Raw genomic sequence first — 17718 nt, 5'->3', positions numbered from 1 at the left:
GATATTAGCATTGTGATGTGTGAACATGAGAGAGCTTTTGGTTCTGACAGATCACGAAAGTTGAGCTGGAACTTACGGGATAACAGACTGTGCTGTACCTTCCTTTGAGGTAAAAAGCAGTCCTTATGTGCATGTTGAGGAATTTGGATATTACTCTAAAAGCTATGGGAAGTCTTTAGTAGGTTTTAGCAGGAGAAAGACATGATTTACTTTGAGTTCAAAAAACTTTGCTCCTAGGTAGAGAATATATTGGCGAATGCAAGATTAGAGGAAAGATGTTTAGTTAAGAGGCAATTACAGTAATTTAGGTGAGAGTTGATGATGATCTGGGCCAGTGGCAGAGGGGATGATGGGAAGGATATTGAAAAAAGATAGTAATAATAATAACTAAAGTTAACATTCATTGCATTTTTTTCCATGCGTTAGGTAGTTTTTACGTATATTATTTAATCATCACAAAGACCTATGACATAGGTACTGTTATTAAAGACACTGTGTTTCAGAAAGGTTAAGCAATTTGCCTGAGATCATATTGATGATATGAAGTAGAGCAGGAATTTGAATATAGATGATTTCCTTTAGACCTGACAGGATAAAGAAGCAGAATCAGTAGGTCTTAGAGAACAATTAGACTAGAGTGGCAAAGAGAAATTCAGGAAACTTCTGTTTCTAATTCCTAGCCAACAAGGAGAAGAAAATAGGGGGTACATACTTAGGGAGAAACATGATAAGTTCAATTTTGGTCATATTTGAAAGGTCTTTAGAGGTATATAAATAGTAGTGTGCAGTAGGCAAGTGGATTGGGGAGTTTGAAGCCCAAAGGGACTCTCATTTAGATGGGTTTGAGCCAAAGCATAGAAGAGAAGAGAACCATGTTGAAGGAGTCAGTGAAAGAAAGTAGTATGAATAAGTAGCAGAGATGGTCTAGAGAAGGAGGAAGAAACTCAGGAGTCTTTGATACGTAAGAATGCAAGTTTCAATAACACTTGTATAGATTGTTGTCTAGTAGGCACTCTCCTAAATGCTTTGTATATGTAATCTCTTTGTATATGTTCTCTCCTAAGAACTCTAAGTATTATTCTCATTTTATAGCTGGAAAACAAACACAGGTTAAGTGATTTATTCAAGGTCTAATAGCCAGTAAGTGGCTGAGCAGTGATTTGCATTCCCATTGTCTTTGCTACTAAACAGAGCATTATGTTGCTATTAGATGCTCAAAGGTCTGAAAAGTATCTGTTCATTCTAATAACCAAGAAATTATTGATCACTTGGAAAGATTAGTTTTGCTTAAACACTAAGAGCAAATTCATTTTTCAGTAGTTTGAGGATTGAATGTCAGGTGAAAAAATGAAAGCAGAAAATGTCTTTCAAGAAATGAGTTGTGATACTTTTGATAATTTAAACAAAATTTTTAAAATTTATTTTGTAAATAGGTGTGGGAAACAAGTGCAGTTTTGCTATGTTGATATATAGCACTGTGGTAAAGTAAGGGCCTTCAGTGCATCTGTCACTGGAGCAATGCAGCTTGTACCCACCAAGCAACCTCCCATCATCCACTCCACTCCTAATCCCCTACCCCTCCAAGTTTCCATTGTCCATCTCTGTACACTCTGCTTCTGTGTGTACACATTATTTAGTTCACATTTTTGAGTGAGAACATGCAGTATTTCTCTTTCTGTGTCTCAGTTGTTTCATTTAAGATAATGGTCTCCATTTCTATCCATGTTGCTGCAAAAGACATAATTTCATTCTTTTTAATGTCTAAATAGTATTGTGTACATATGTGACTTTTTAAATCCAGTCCTCCATCGATGTACACTTTGGTTGATTGCATATCTTTGTGATTTTGAATACTGCTGTGGTATACATATGAGTGCAGGTCTCTTTTTTATTTAATGATTTCTTTTCCTTTGGGTACATACCCAGTAGTGGGATTGCTGGGTCAAATGGTAGTTCTATTTTTAGTTATTCGAAAACTCATTATACTGTTTTCCATAGAGGTTGTACTAATGTACATTCTCACCGACAGTGTATAACAATTCCTTTTTCTTTGCACCCCAATGTCTGTTTTTTCTTTGTCTTTTTAATACCCATTCTGATTGGTGTAAGGTGATATTTCATTGTGGTTTTAATCTGCATTTTACTGATGATTAGTTATATTGAACATTTTATCATGTGCTTGTTGGCTATTTGTTTATCTTCTTCTGAAAAATGTTCATGTCCTTAGCCCACTTTTTAATGGGCTTATTTGGGGGTTTTTTGGTTGAGTCCCTTGTAAATTCTGGATATTAGTCCTCTGTTGAATGTATAGTTTGCAAATATTTTCTCTCATTCCTGAGATTGTTCATTCTGTTATTTCTTTTGTAGCACAGAAGCTTTTTAGCTTAATTAAGTTTCATTTGTCTATTTGTGTTTTTATTGCCTGTGCTTTTGAGGTCTTAGTCATGAATTGTTTGCCTAAACCAATATCTAGAAGAGTTTTTCCTAGGTTTTCTTCTATATTTTTATAGTTTTGGGTCTTACATTCAAATCTTTAATCCGTCTTAAGTTTATTTTCGTGTATGGTGACATATACGTTCCAGTTTCACTCTTCTGCATGTGGCAATCCCGTTTTCCCAGCACCATTAATTGAAAAGTGTGTCTTCTCCCCAGTGTAGTGTTCTTGCCATCTTTGTCATAGATCAGTTGGCTGTAAGTATTTGACTTTATTTCTGGTTTCTCTATTTTGTTCCATTTATCTGTGTGTCTATTTTTATACTAGTACCATGCTATTTTGGTTGCTGTAGCCTTGTAATACATTTTGAAGTGAGGCAACGTGTACCTCCAGCATTGTTCTTTTTGATTAGGATTGCTTTGGCAATTTGGGTTCTTTTTTGGTTCCATATGAACTTTAGAATTGTTTTTTTCTAATTCTGTGAAGAATGACATCAGTAATTTGATAAGGATTGCATTGAATCTGTAGCTTTGGGAAGTATGTTCATTTTAATAATATTAATTCTTCTGATCCACGAGCATGGGATGTTTTTCCATTTTTTTATGTTGTTTACAATTTATTTCATCCGTCCTTTGTAGTTTTCCTTGCAGAGATCTTTCACCTTGTTAGTTAAATATATTCCTAGGCATTTTATTTTATTTTTGTAGCTGTTGTAAATGGGATTGCATTCTTGATTTGGTACTCAGCTAGATTTTTATTGATGTATAGAAACATTACTGATTTTTGTACATTGATTTTGTATCCTGAAGCTTTACTTAATTTACCAACCTAAGAGATTTTTGGTGGAGTCTTGAGGGCTTTCTGTATACAAGATCATATCATTAGCCAACTATGATAATTTGCTACTTCTTTCCCAATTTGGATGCCTTTTGTTTTTTTCCCTTGCCTCATTGTTCTGGCTAGGACTTGCAGTACTATATTGAGTAAGAGTGGTGAAAGTGGGTATCCTTATCTTGTTCCAATTCTTAGAGGGAATCTTTTCAACTTTTCCCCAATTCAGTATTATGTTGGCTGTGGATTTGTCATACATGACCTTTATTATGTTGAGGGATGTTCCTTCTCTATCTAGTTTGTTGAGGATTTTTGTCATGAATGGAAGATGAATTTTATCAAATGCTTTTTCTTCATCTGTTGGGATGATCATCTGGTTTTTGTCCTTAATTCTGTTTATGTGATGTATAACACTTACTGATTTGCGTATGTTGAACTATTCTTGCGTCCCTGAGATAAATCTCACTTGATCATGGTGTATGATCTTTTTGACATGCTGTTGGATTCAATTTGCTAGTATTTTGTTAATAATTTTGCATCGATGTCATCAGAGATACTAGTCTGTAGTTTTTGTTTTTGTGTTCTTTGTCTGGTTTTGATATCAGGGTGATACCTTGTAGAATGAGTTAGGGAGAATTCCCTCCTCAGTAGTTTTGGAATAGTTTCAGGTGGATTGGTGTTAGTTCTTTTTGTGTTTTGTACATCTAGGCTGTGAATCCATCTGGTCCTGGACTTTCTTTTATTGGGATTTTTTTATTACTGATACAGTCTTGCTGTCATCATTGATCTGTTCAGGAATTCTCTTTCTTCCTGGGTCAGTCTTGGGAGGCTGTATGTTTCCAGCAATTTATCCATTTTCTCTTGGTTTTCTAGTTTATGGGCATATAGTTATACATAGTAGTCTCTAATTACCTTTAGAATTTCTGTGGTATCAGTTGTAATGTCTCTTTTTTCCTCTCTGATTTTATTTGGATCTTTTCTCTCCTTTTCTTGGTTAGTCTAGCTGGTAGTTCATCAATTTTGTTTCTCTCTTTAAATAACCAACTTTTTTTTCATTGATCCTTTGGGTTTTTTTTTTTTTGGATTTTTGTTCATTTAGTTCTGCTCTGATCTTTGTTATTTCTTTGCTTCTGCTAACTCTGACTTTCGTTTGTTCTTGTTTTTCTGGTTTCATTGAGGTGTGATGCTAGTGTGTTAATTTGTGATCTTTCTACTTTTTTTCACTACTGAGTCCCGCGTTGTTTGCTTATCTGGGAAATTTTTTATATCTCTTTTATTTATTAAGCTTATTCTGGCAGGATATAAAATTTTGGCTTACAGTTTTTTTGTTTGTTTGTTTGTTTGTTTGAGCACTTGGAAAATGTTATTCTTTCTCTTCTGGCCTGTAAGATTTCTGCTGAAAAGTCCAGTTAGTTTTATAATGTTTTCTTTATAGGTGACTAGATAGATGCTTTTCTCTTGGTAATTTTAAGATTTTTTTTTTTTTAACTTTGACTTTACACATTCTGAATATAATGTGTATGATGAAGTCCTTTTTGCAGTGTATTTTCCTGGGGATAGCTGGGCCTCCTGTATCTGGATGTCTGATGCTCTTGCTAGACTTAGGAAGTTTTCATTGATTATTTCCTTAAATAGGTTTTTTTAACTTTCTAATCTCTCTTCCCCCTTAGGAATACTGATAATTCATATGTTTGTTTGCTTTATGTAGTCCTGGACATCTCAAATGGCTTTGCTCATTCCTTTTTATGCTTTTTCCTATTTTTGCCTGACCGCATTATTTCAAAATTTCGTTCTGTCTTCAGGTTCTGAGATTCTTTCTTTTGCTTGATCTAATCTGTTATTGAATCTTTTGAATATATTTTGTATTTTCTTCAATTTTTTAATTCATGGTTTCCGTTTTCTTTTCTTTTTTTAAAGATGTCTGTCTCATTGGTAAATCTCTCATTCATAAACAGAATTCATTTTCTGATTTCTTTGTATTGGTTTTCAGATTTCTCTTGAATCTCATTAAACTTCTTTAAAATCACTATTTTGAATTCTTTATCTGGCATTTCGAGGAATTTTTTTTAATTGATATATATTGCTAGATAATTGTTGTGGTCTTTTGGTGATATCATATTTCCCTGCTTTTTCATGTTTCCTGTGCCCTTCCTTTGATATCTGTGCATCTAGTGTAGCAATTGCTTGTTCTATTTTTTTTGAAATTGCATTTGTAGCAAAGAAATGTTTTCTGAAGATGTATGTATGTTGTTGGTTAAGATACTTTGGCTTTGATTTTGGGTGCCTGTGGTAGTGTGGCCCTTATATTGAGTGTATGAACATTTCCTTTCTTTTTCAACTTACTTATGGTTTGGTATTTTAAGTATCTGTTAGCATATAACGGGATCATGCTTTTTTGATCCAGTCTGACAGTCTCACTATTTAATCAGCATAGTCAATTTATGTAAAATAATTATTGATATGGTTTTGTTTGTCTGTCAAACAATTTGAGTTCCCTTTGTTTTGCCTGTTTTTTGTTCTCCTTCCTGAGTTCTTTTGGGTTAAATATTTTTTATTCTATTTTATTTTCACCATTGGCTTTGAGCAACACCCGTTTTGTTCCTTTAGTGGTTATGCTAGTACTAACAATATACATCCTTACTAAGGTATACTTACAGCTACTATTGTACCACTCCCCATGTTACAGTTGTTATTTCTCATGTCCTGCTTTTTCTTCCCCCTTGACAAATATAAGAATCTTATAATAGTGAAATTCCATTTACTCACTCCCCTGTTCATTGAACTGTTATGATCTTTTACATGTACATGTATTATAAACTCTATGTTATATTACTGCTTTTGTTTAAACAATGAGTCATCTTTTAAGGAAATTAAAAGAAGGAAAAAGTATAGTCTTTATATTTACTGACATATTTACCATTTCTGGTGTTCTTCATTTTTACCTGTAGATCCATTTTTATCTGGGCATTATTTCCCTTCATTGTGAAAAATATCTACCATTTCATATATTTCAGCTGGGGATAACTTCTCTTAGCTTTCATTCATTTGAAAATGCCTTTATTTCATGTTTGTTTTCAAGGATATATTTATTGGATATAGAATTCTGTGTTGACTTTTTTTTTCTTTTAGGACTATAGAGATGCCGGTCCACTGCTTTCTGGATTCTGTTGTTTCGTATGTGATTTGCATTTTTTTTCCTGCCACCTTTCTGTTTTATCTTTTAGTTTCAGCAGTTGGACTGGCATGTGCTTAAGTAAGCTTTTTCTTTGAATTTCTCCTCTGTGGGTAACTGAGCTTCTTGGATTCATTCAGTATTTTTCATCAAATTTGGGAAATTATTGTATAATATTTCTTGAAATATTTTTTTTTCCTGCCACATTATTACCCTTTTCTCTTTTTTGGGATGCCAATTACGTGTGTATGTTCATGTATTAGGCTATTTGATACTGTAACACGGATCTCTGAGATTCTGTTCCTTTCTCCTTTATTTTATTGTGTTTTATTTGTGTGGCAGAGAGGATTTTCAGTTGAGTAATTTCTGTTGCTCTCTCTTTGAGTTCACTGAACCTTTTGTCTGCCATATCCAATATTCTGGATGCATTTTTAGTGAGTTTTTAAATTTTAGTTGAGGGGGTGAGGGACAAAATGCATCTGATAATAGAGAGAAATCTACATTTCAGTTTTGCTTGTCTATATTCTTCGTATAGACGTTTGTTACACATTTTACTCACCTATTTATTTCTTTTTAAGTTTTATTTCTATTTATTTTCCTGGAATTTTCTTTCTTATTAAATAAGGTTTTATGAATTACAGCTGGTCTTTTCTACTTAATTGCATTTAAATGATTATCAGATGCTTGTTAGCATTCTCAACTTATTTTACATTTGGTCAGTTAGTGTGATATTTCTTGTATACTTGTATTTATTAATAAAGTGCTATGATTTGATTTCTTTTTGACATATCATTAATACTGATTATTTCCAAGCTGCATCTAGTTTTGACATACTTTTATTGTTTTGTGTGCTTGATATAGAAATGTTAAATACTATGACAGTTTGCTAAGTTCTTATTTTATTTTTGTTCTTACTTATATTAGTGAAATATTTTTTTAAGTTTCAACATTTTCTTATTTGTTTGCTTAAGAGATGGATCTTGCTCTGTCACCCAGGCTAGAGTGCTGGGGTATGATTGTAGCTCATTGTAACCTCAAACTCCTGGGCTCAAGGAATCCTTCTGCCTCAGCCTCCCAAGTAGCTGGGATTATAGGCACATGCCACCACGCCCAGCTAATTAAAAAAATTTTTTTTTTATAGTGGCAGGATCTTTCTGTGTTGCCCAGGCTGGTCTCAAACTCCCAGCCTCAAGCAATCCTCCCACCTTGACCTCTCAAAGTGCTGGGATTACAGGCATGAGCATTGCCCCTGTCCAATTTTAACATTTTTATTAATGAATTCTTTTAGCTATAAGTGAACACATTAGTATCTACTAGGGTTAAAACTAGGAAATAGCTTTTATGTATTTTTCATGGTTAACAGATTGTTATGTAGAATGCTCACTTTTTTAAAAAAAAAGATTGAAGTATTTGTGTTCTTTTACATATCTGAATAATTTTTCAGCTCTCTATTGTGTACTTACCCTTTTCTAACCTGCAGATATCTATGTTTTTTGAATTTTATTAAATGGATTTTAGTGCTACATTCTGTTTTTTGCATACACTTCTGTGAGTTTTGACGAATACGTGCAAATGTGTATGTAACCACAATCACAATCAATTCGTTCATCACCTTCCAAAATTTTATAGTTAGCTGTTTTGCCAACTCTAACCACTCATGACTGCTTACCAATTTCCTGACACTGTTTTTTTGTTTTTCAAGAATGTCATATAAATGGCATTATACAGCATGTAGCCTTTTGCATCTGGCTTCTTTCACTTACTATGATACGTATAACATTCTTTCAGGTTGTTTTTTTCATTAGTATTTCTTTCTTTTGGTGATTAGAATTTTGTTGCAGCCTATTTATCCATTGCCCAGTGTAGGAATATTTGGATTCTTTCCAGTTTTTGTGATGGTGAATAATGCAACTGTAAATATATATGTACAGATTTTTATCTGAACATAGGTTTTTATTTCATTTGAGTAAAGGTCAAATGTTCAAATAGTTCCTAAGCAACAGTATGTGATATAGCTCATAGGTTGGCATGCTACACTTCTCTAGATTCAGCTGTTAAGGAGGCAAGGCACCCAAATAGATTTAGGTAGTATATTACTTATTGGCACAGCAGGGAACATGAACTTTATGTTTGCACTGGTTCTTCTTTCCTCCCCAAGTCCCATGGGGGCAGGGACAGGTACATAACGTGCACACGGAGTTTGTAGCACATCTGAGGGGCACTGAGCTTAGAAAATCCCCAGTTTTTAAAGAGGGTATATTAGTTTGTCAGGTCAGCCATAACAAAGTACCACAGATTGGGTGGCTTAAACATTTATTTTCTCATAGTTCTGAAGGCTAGAAGATCAGTATCAAAGTGGCTGCAGGGTTGGTTTCTTCTGAGGTCTCTCTCCTTGGCTTGCAGATGCTCACCTTCTCGCTGTGTCTTCACCTGGCATTTTCTCTGTACGTGCCTGAGACTCTGTTGTGTTTCTGTGTGTCCCATTTTCTTTTGGGGATACCAGTCAGACTGGTGGCACAAAAGAGGCACATTCTAATGGCCTCTTTTTAACCAAACTACCTATTTAATGGCCCTGTCTCCAAATACAGTCAAATTCAGAGTTGTTGAGGGTTAGAGCTTCAACCTGTAATTTGGGAGAACACAATTAAGTCCATAACAGGATGTGTTACATTTTTTATATCTATACTAATTCATTTTTGTCCTAAAAGCAAACAGGATTTCTAGAATACAGGCAGACTCTTATTACAGTTATGCACCATATACAACATCTCAGTCAACACTGCACTGCATATATATGATGGTGGTCCATCCCATAACATCATAGTATTGTGTTTTTACTCTACCTTTTCTAGGTTTTTATATGTTTAGATACATACATACTTACCATTGTCTTATAATTGCCTACAGTATTCAATACCGTATATGTTGTACAGGTTTATAGCTTAAAAGCAATAAGCTATATTGTATAGCCTCGGTGTATAGTAGGCTGTACAATCTAAGTTGGTTTAGGCATACTCTGATGTTCACACAAAGACGAAATTGCCTGACAACACATTTTTCAGAATGTATCCCTGTTGTTAAGCACCACATAATTATATTATTCTCAGCAATAACTCCCTGCCCATCCTCCCCATTCAGAGTGATGCAGTGAGGGCCAGATGTCTTCCTGCTGTGTGAAGGGGATTTCTTGTACTCTCAGAGAGGAAGGCTGAAATGATGCATCTAGGAGTTTATATAGGGCAGCTATTCAGCTTTACCCCTCCCGAGAGAGGGAGAGAAACCTCATTTCCTTAATGTAAATACGTCATTTGGAATTTAAGGGAATAGCTATAGATTTCATCTGTTGAATTGTAAACATGTAATTCTGGGACATCAGTCTCTCTGGAAGTCTCTCAGTGTCCTTTAATTTTCAAAGCTTGTCTTTTAACTCAGGTTCCAGTTTTCTTTGCTCACTTCAACAAGGGCAGGGACAAATTTCCTACCACCTTTCTAATGGAATAACTTCCATTGTAGGTAAAACTGTTGACATAATGTATAGCATGATCACCCAAAAAGGTCGTTTACTGAAGACTTGAATGTTTCTTATGTTTCTTATTACTACTCCTAGGTGCAAGTCACACTGTTTATTTGGTTAGTTTCTGCCTTTCACACAAGAAACGCAGTCCCAGTGGCACACATGCTACCCCTGAAAACAAACAGTTTATAATTGTTGGTCCCCCCTCTAGGAAGTGTGTATTAATAGATAGGCAGGCAGCATGGGTTGACAGTGCCTCTTGTGTTATTAGTTAGCTAGTAGTCTCCTAAGGCCCCTAGTTTAGTCCCGGTAATTTAGTTTGGTCTGGTTTTCAGAGAGACTGCCTCAGGGCAGTTTGTTAAATTTGTCTTAATTTACTAATCCATTTGTCCTAGTTATGGATGGCATTTGGAAGTAATCAGCATCCAAGCTGCAGGAGCTGGGCCATGCCCTGCTGGCTCATGGTTAGAGCAGTTGGGTGAGACATGGTAGGCAGGCTTAGCAGTTGATTTACTTTCAAATTTCCCAGTAGTTTCTGAGAGTAGCACCAGAATATTTTTCCTTGGGAAAGGAGGTTCCTGGAGTTCTGAAAGACAAAGATGATTAATGCCTCCCCTCCCCTACACCTCCTGGGACCTAAGGGATTCCCTTTCCAAGTTCTAGAGTTTTCTTCTCCAGGTGCTAGGGCCCTTTCGCAGGTGCTAGGAGTGTCTTCCTACATGCTTAGGTGCTTTTTGCTCTCTTTTCATTGTTCTAAAACCAGTGTGGCCCATTCCAATAACTATAACTTTATATTTTTTCTGATTATCCCCTCTACTCTGAGACTTTTCTTCTAGTTGGATCACATACAAGTGAAGCAAAAGCACCTGCTTTGAGTTTAATTTGATTAATGTCTTTTAATCTAATTGATTGTGGTTCTCTTGATTGCTTTGCGTTTTTTCTTGCCTCTTTTGTATGCCTCATATGTTGTTATTGTTCAAAGCTGTACGTCTTGTGGAGGACAGTGGAGACTGGGGTAGTTTTTATTTCTGGGCATGTGTAGGTCTTTCTTTGTGCTAGGCCTTTAGTTTGGTGCATTGAATTAATCTAGTCGGGTTTAGAGTTAGGTTTGGGATTTGTTGTTGTTTTTGGTGCTTCAATGCACTAGAGGCTTCATATTCCTCAGAGTTACTTTGTATGTAGGATCGGAGATGGTTGACGAGAGGATTTTTCTCTTGTCTTCCCCATCCTTAGTTTTAGGTCTTTCCTTTGTGCTTTGCCTCAAATAAGATCTCCTCCCTGCTCAAGAGCTTCTCTTCCAGTAGTAGACCATGTTACTTTTTACTAGGTACTGGTTAGCCTTTAATAGGTAGATGTTCTCTGTTCTGATGAAGCCTGTCTTGGTAGCAGTAGGTCCTGGGTCTTGTGAGTGGGGCCTTCTCAATGATCCTGCTTTGCCTCTAGCTGTATAGGTCTGGGCCTTACACCTATGTACCCGTTCCTGCCCATCCCTAACAGGGATAGAAGGTGTTTTTTTCTGTTCTTGCCTTCCAGCTGCAGTGGGTTTTCACCAATGGTCTTGGATTGACATGTTTTTTTTTGCCCTTCTCCCAGCATTTTAAGTCCTTTGTTCTGAAAGAAAGATAGAGGAGAAAGAGCCAAGCAGAGTTTCCAGCCTTTCGTGCAGTAACTGCTGCTGCCATTGCCCTACTTCTGTCCTGAACCTTGTCAGGTCTGTAGAGAAGCGCATGTAAATGAATGAATTCCCCTGTGTTTGCAGCTTGGGGGCTCCATGTGTTTTCATTGCACCATACTTGGCCTCTAGCAATTCATTAAAGTGTTAGATGAATTTTTCTTACAGATGTCTGGGAACATTTGTCATTTACCTTAGGTAAGCAAGTTGCTATAAAAATTTTATTTGTATCTTGGTGTGATTATAAACTTTGGCTCTTCTTTGTAACTATTTTTTTCTCATTTCAGGGAAATCTTTCACTTTTCTTTAACTTATCATAGAAATAAAACAATTGTTTTATTCTCATTAGAAGTAATGAGAATTACTTGCTTTCCTCAGATTTCTGCTTAGTTGGTTGCCCTGTGACCTCAACTCTCTGATGGGTCAAGAAAGGTTCTGAGATTTACAGATTAACTTTTTATTGTTGACACTTTTTTCAGCTTTCTATCTTTTAAGTGTAACTACTTTTACTTTTGACTATGAATCATGCTTTGTTGATAACCATATTTTTATTTATGTTCCTATAAGTAAAATTGATGTATAAGTAAAATTGAGTCCTATTTTATAAGTAAAATTGATCTATTTTTTATTAGCTATATCAAAGTCTGGAATATTAGCCTGGGAGGCTAATAGGATCTATTTTTAAATTTTATTTACAAAAACCATCCAGATTAAAAACTTTATTTTATCTGATAATCTAAGTAACTTTTTTTAAACTGACAGAGCTGGTTAGTTACAGAAACTGAACAAAGACTAAACTGTACTTGTGTCTTAATCTGTTGATTTGTCCACACTATATGAGATTTCCATTTTGCATTTCTAAATCTTTATTAAGTTTTCATTTCTTTCTAGGAGCAAACATCATTTTATTGTTTTGTAGAGAACAATATTACAGATTAAAACAAAGCTAGGGAAAGTTGATCTAGTTATCTGCAAAATAAGGAACTGATAGTACTTAACTAATAGGATTACTTAGGAAATTATATTATAAACCTTGAAGTATTTGTAGATCTGATTTTTCTCTAGAAAAACAAATTCAACAGTTTCTTGTCTTAAAATAGTTACTTGAACACAGTACTCTGACTTCTTGAAAGAAAACTGTTGCTATAGAAAATTCTAATTTTTATTTCTATCTTGGTTTTATTATAAACTCCTTTGACTCCTCTTTGTAACTATTTTTTTTTCTCATTTCAGGGAAAACTTTCACTTATCTCTTCTTTAACTTATCGTGGAAATAAAACAGCTGTTTTGCAGATTGGACTACAAGGTATATAGTATAAGCAAACTATTTCTACTTATCTTTTTCCCTGTAATATATAAATATGTGACTTCATATATATATGTGTGTGTATTCTACTTCATAGCCCTTTACTCTCATATCTAGACCATTGCAGTAGCTAACTGCTTCTAGTTTCACTTATGTGACTTAAACATCTTAGCAGCTTAACTGTCTTAAAACTTGGCTTTTAACATGTTACATAGATGTACTTGTTACATAGCTGTATTTGTTACCTAGGTGTTGTTCTTACACAGGGAGAATTCTTTCTCCATATAGCCCTCAAGTAATCATGGTAAGCTAGGAAGGGCTACTTTGTAACACTTAGGGACAAAAGTAGATCTCATCTGAAGCCTGTGGTTGGTTAGAACAGTCTGGAGCAGCAAATGGGAAACAAACTACAAAATTCTACAACTACTGACTACTAAGTATATATCAGACACTGTTCTAGGTACTGGGGTTATAAGCTGTGAACAAAACTTAGTTCTTGTCTTATTGAATTTACATTTTAGGGGAATGAGGAAATGCAGTGAATAATTACATAAAGTAATATGAGGTAGAAATGTGGTCTGAAGAAAAAGCAAGTTAAGGTGGTAGAGCATAGGGGAGTTATGAGAAATAAATTAATTTTCTGAATAAATTAAATATAAATACATTTATTAAGTAACAGATACTTGTAGAAAATTGAGTTGCAATTGTTTCTCTGTATATGCATGAGATTAGTTCCAGGAGCCCCCTATGGATATAAAAATCTGTGGATGCTCAAGTCTTATATAAAATGGCAAAATATTTGCATATAACCCATGTGTATTCTCCCTACCATTGACATTAAGTCATCTCTAGATTATTTATAATGCCTAATGCAATGTCCATGCTATCTAAATAGCTAGACTATGTATTTTTAAATTTGTATTATTATTTATTGTTGTAGTATAATTTTTTAAAAAACATTTTTTCTGAATATTTTTCAGTCTGAATTGGTTGAATTTGCAGATGCAAAACTTGCAGATACAGGGCTAACTATATGTCAGAAGAAGGGCTTTTATTCTTTTTTCTTTTTTTGGTACTTTCTGTGGTTAGTGCCTTGTACATAGCAGAAACTTGTGTAGAAAGACTTGATATGTTAAGCTGTCAATACTACCTAAAATGAGCTGCAGATTCAAGACAGTCCCCATCAGAATTATAAAACTTTGCTGCAGAAATGTAAAGACCAATCCCCAAATTTGTATGGAATTTCAAGGGGCTTCAAATTGCGAAAACAACCTTAAAAAAGAACAACAAAGTCTGAGTACTCAGGCTTCCCAGTTTCAAAACTTATCACAGAGCTACAGTAATCAAAACAGTGGTACTGGCATAAGGATAGACAGAGATCAATGGAGTACAATTGAGTCCAGAAATAAACCCATACTCTTTTTTTTTTTTTTTTTTCTGAGACAGAGTCTCGTTCTGTCACCCAGGCTGGAGTGCAGTGGCAGGATCTTGGCTCACTGCAACCTCTGCCTCCTGGGTTCAAGCAGTTCTCCTGCCTCAGCCTCCCGAGTAGCTGGGACTACAGACGCGTACCACCATGTCTTGCTAATTTTTTGTATTTTTAGTAGAGACGGGGTTTCACCATGTTAGCCAGGATGGTCTTGATCTCCTGACCTCGTGATCCACCCACCTCGGCCTCCCAAAGTGCTGGGATTACAGAAAACCCATACTTCTATGGCTAAGTAATTTTTTGACAAGGATCACATGTTCAGTCAATTGCAAAAACAGTTAAATAAGAAGAAGAAATAAAAGACGTTCCAATTAGAAGGGAAGGAATAAAACTATCTCCATTTAAGAATGACCATTTGTCTTTTCAACAAATAATAATGAGACAACTGGATTTCCACATACAAAAGAATGAAATTAGATTCTTACCTTACATTATATACAAAATTTAACTAAAATGGATTAAGCATCTATATATAAGAGCTAAATCCATAAAATCCTTCAGAGATACAGAGGCAAATCTTCATGAGCTTGGATTTGGCAATGGATTGTTAGATATGTTACAAAAGGGATGAGCAATGAAGGAAAAATTGATAAATTAAGCTTCATAAAAATGTAAAAATTTTATGCATCAAAGGACATTATCATGAACATGAAAAGACAGTGTATAGAGTGGGAGAAAATATTTGCAAATCATATATCTAATGAGGATTTGCTATCCAGGATTATATAAAGGACTTCTTAAATTCAACAACAAAAAGATAAGCAATTCAATTAAAAAAATAGGTGATTTGATTTAGTGTATCCTCAAAGAAGAAATACAATACTGATGGTTGTTGATATGGTTTGGCTGTGTCCCCACCCACATCTCATCTTGAATTGTAACTCCCACAATTCCCATGTGTCATGGGAGGAACCTGGTGGGAGGTGATTGAATTATGGAGGCGGGTCTTTCCTTGGCTGTTCTCATGATAGTGAAGGAGTTTCACGGGATCAGATGATTTTAAAAACGAGAGTTTTTCTGCACAAGCTCTCTCTTTGCCTACTGCCATCCACATGAGATGTGACTTGCTCTTCCTTGCCTTCCGCCTTGATTATGAGGCCTCCCCAGCTATGTGGAACTGTAAGGCCAATATACCTCTTTCTTTCGTAAATTGCCCAGTGTCGGGTATGTCTTAGCAGCTTGAAAATGGACTAATACAGTGGTCCTGGCATTCTGGGGAGTATCTTATCTTTTGAGGCTGTGGCCCTCTGTTGGCTTTCTGGAACTGGAGCCTCTGCAGTATACCTTGCTAGTCTTTTGTATTTGAAATATTACTCTGAATACATCTGTGCTTCCTGAAGGAAATAGGAGAATTTGCATGTATTCATTAAGCCATTCACACATTTATTAAACAATATATTGAATACCTATGAGGAGTCAGGCCCTATTCCTAGACACCGATGAGCCAAACAAAGTTGTCCTTATGCAGCATACGTTCTAGGGAAGAAAGACAATAAACCAAAAAAAGTAAATATATACCTTTTCTAGTTGGAAACAGTGCTATGGAGAATGTAAGGCAGAACTGTAAACATGAGAAGGGGAGGGAAGGTATATATTTATCTGGTGGTGAAGAAAAGACTGACAAGTAACATTTGATAAGAGACTTCAAAGAAGTGATGTGAAGTGATCCTTCAGATATTTAAAGTAAGAGTATTCTAGAACAGTCTTAGCAAGTACAAAGGTTCTGCAGTGTGAGTGTATGTTTCATTTATGTCAAGGAGAGGCTCAGGGTATCTAAAACCCAGCAGGTGTGACTTGGAGTTAAAACCCTTAATTCCACTGAGTTTTTTTTTTTTCCCCCAATTTTAAAGATGGAGGTAATGATATCTGCTTTTCTGGATTGTTGAAAGAACTCAAGACAGAATATAGCCACTACTAGCACATAGTGGGAACTCAGTACATAGCAACTATTATTATTGTCATTACTATTATTGTAATTAGATACAGCCTCAGTGAGGAAGAAGAGAGTAGAGGGAAGACATCTGAACCCTGAGCCCAGTAGTTTAGCTTCTAATCTCTGCTTTTCTTCAGTTAATTATTGGCCCTTGAGTAACATTGAATGTTGCCAGATTCAAATTTAATCAAATATAAAATAAGGGTTTTGGATTAGCTGAGAATTCTGAATAGCTATGACATACAGTAGTTGCAGAAATTGTGGTGGTTTAAATAATTCAATGCCCTTGAGAAATGGTACCATTTTTGTAAAACCTGTGGGGTCTGGAATAAAGATCCATTTCAAGCAAGCTGTTAGAACATCTGCTTTTATTTCCTTGTTACAAGAATTTTGTGATACATTGTCAAACTCAGATTTTATCTTTTTTGCTCAAGTTGCTGTGAAGAACTGTTAAATCAGTTAATTTTTTTCTCACTTCTACTTTGAACAAAGAAAAGGAAAATCAGTGTCGTGTTAGTTTTCCATCTGCAATGCTGTTACTAATCAGCGGTATATCTTAAAACCTTGCTTTAGAATTTAGGGAAGTAATGCATTTGCCATACAGTTCATGTCCTAAAGCTCATAGAACAAATCATCGGACCATTTCTCTGAGATTGATTGCTGATAAAATTTTTAAAATATTGATTGAAATATAGTTCTAATCTAGTCGATGTGGCACAAAAATTCTAGAGACAAATATACTACAAAGAAGTCTCTTGACAGTCATCAGGGAAGGACACTAGGAAATAAAACAGAAAAAAGCGTGAGTGCACATACACACAATCATGCCTGCTTGAGGCGATGTCAGATAGGAATTAATTGCTCCAAATGAATCCCTTTGTAAATATCTATTTTGATAAGGTGCTTTTGTTAGTTGGTGGCCCCAGTAAAGGTCTGCTGTCATTACTGTTATTTGTATTATTCTTCCTCTTGAAGGCAAGACTTTATTTCAGCTTAGTTAAAATTATTAATATTTGAGATGACATTTCTAAATTATTAAGAATTCAGTGTTGGTAGCTTATAAAAATTTTGCATTTATGAATGTTAAATAAATGTCAGGTGCAAATATGAATACAAAATCTCATTCACTAAAGAATTTTTGAAACATTTGTTTTAACATAATACAGAAAATAGTGTTGGGGTAAATGTAGGTAGAGTTGCTCTGAGAGAGGTGTGTGTACATTATATTTGTATGAATACATTTAAAAATGTATTTGAGTGTATCAATGTGTTATGCTTTTTCTCATGACTCTTAGGGTGTGTCTGATTGTATACCTGTCTGTATTACACACCTATGTGTGTTTATGTTTGTTGGGAATTCATAACTT

At 35.0% G+C, this 17718-nt stretch overlaps 1 protein-coding gene across 5 annotated transcripts in view; it reads left to right on the top strand.

The window, feature by feature from the left end:
* POT1 (protection of telomeres 1) overlaps positions 1 to 17718 on the top strand; it is a 107440-nt gene that overhangs the window by 1323 nt on the left and 88399 nt on the right. For all 5 annotated transcript variants that reach the window (NR_003103.2, NR_003104.2, NR_003102.2 and 2 more), the window contains exon 3: positions 12857 to 12929. The gene's annotated coding sequence lies outside the window, so the exon portion shown is untranslated. The remainder of the gene's footprint in view (positions 1 to 12856; positions 12930 to 17718) is intronic.

The sequence above is a fragment of the Homo sapiens genome, chromosome 7 (genome assembly GCF_000001405.40).
Source record: "Homo sapiens chromosome 7, GRCh38.p14 Primary Assembly".
Classification (NCBI taxonomy): domain Eukaryota; kingdom Metazoa; phylum Chordata; class Mammalia; order Primates; family Hominidae; genus Homo; species Homo sapiens.
The sequence above is the reverse complement of the archived record's forward strand: the minus strand, read 5'-3'. Positions and strand labels throughout refer to the sequence as shown.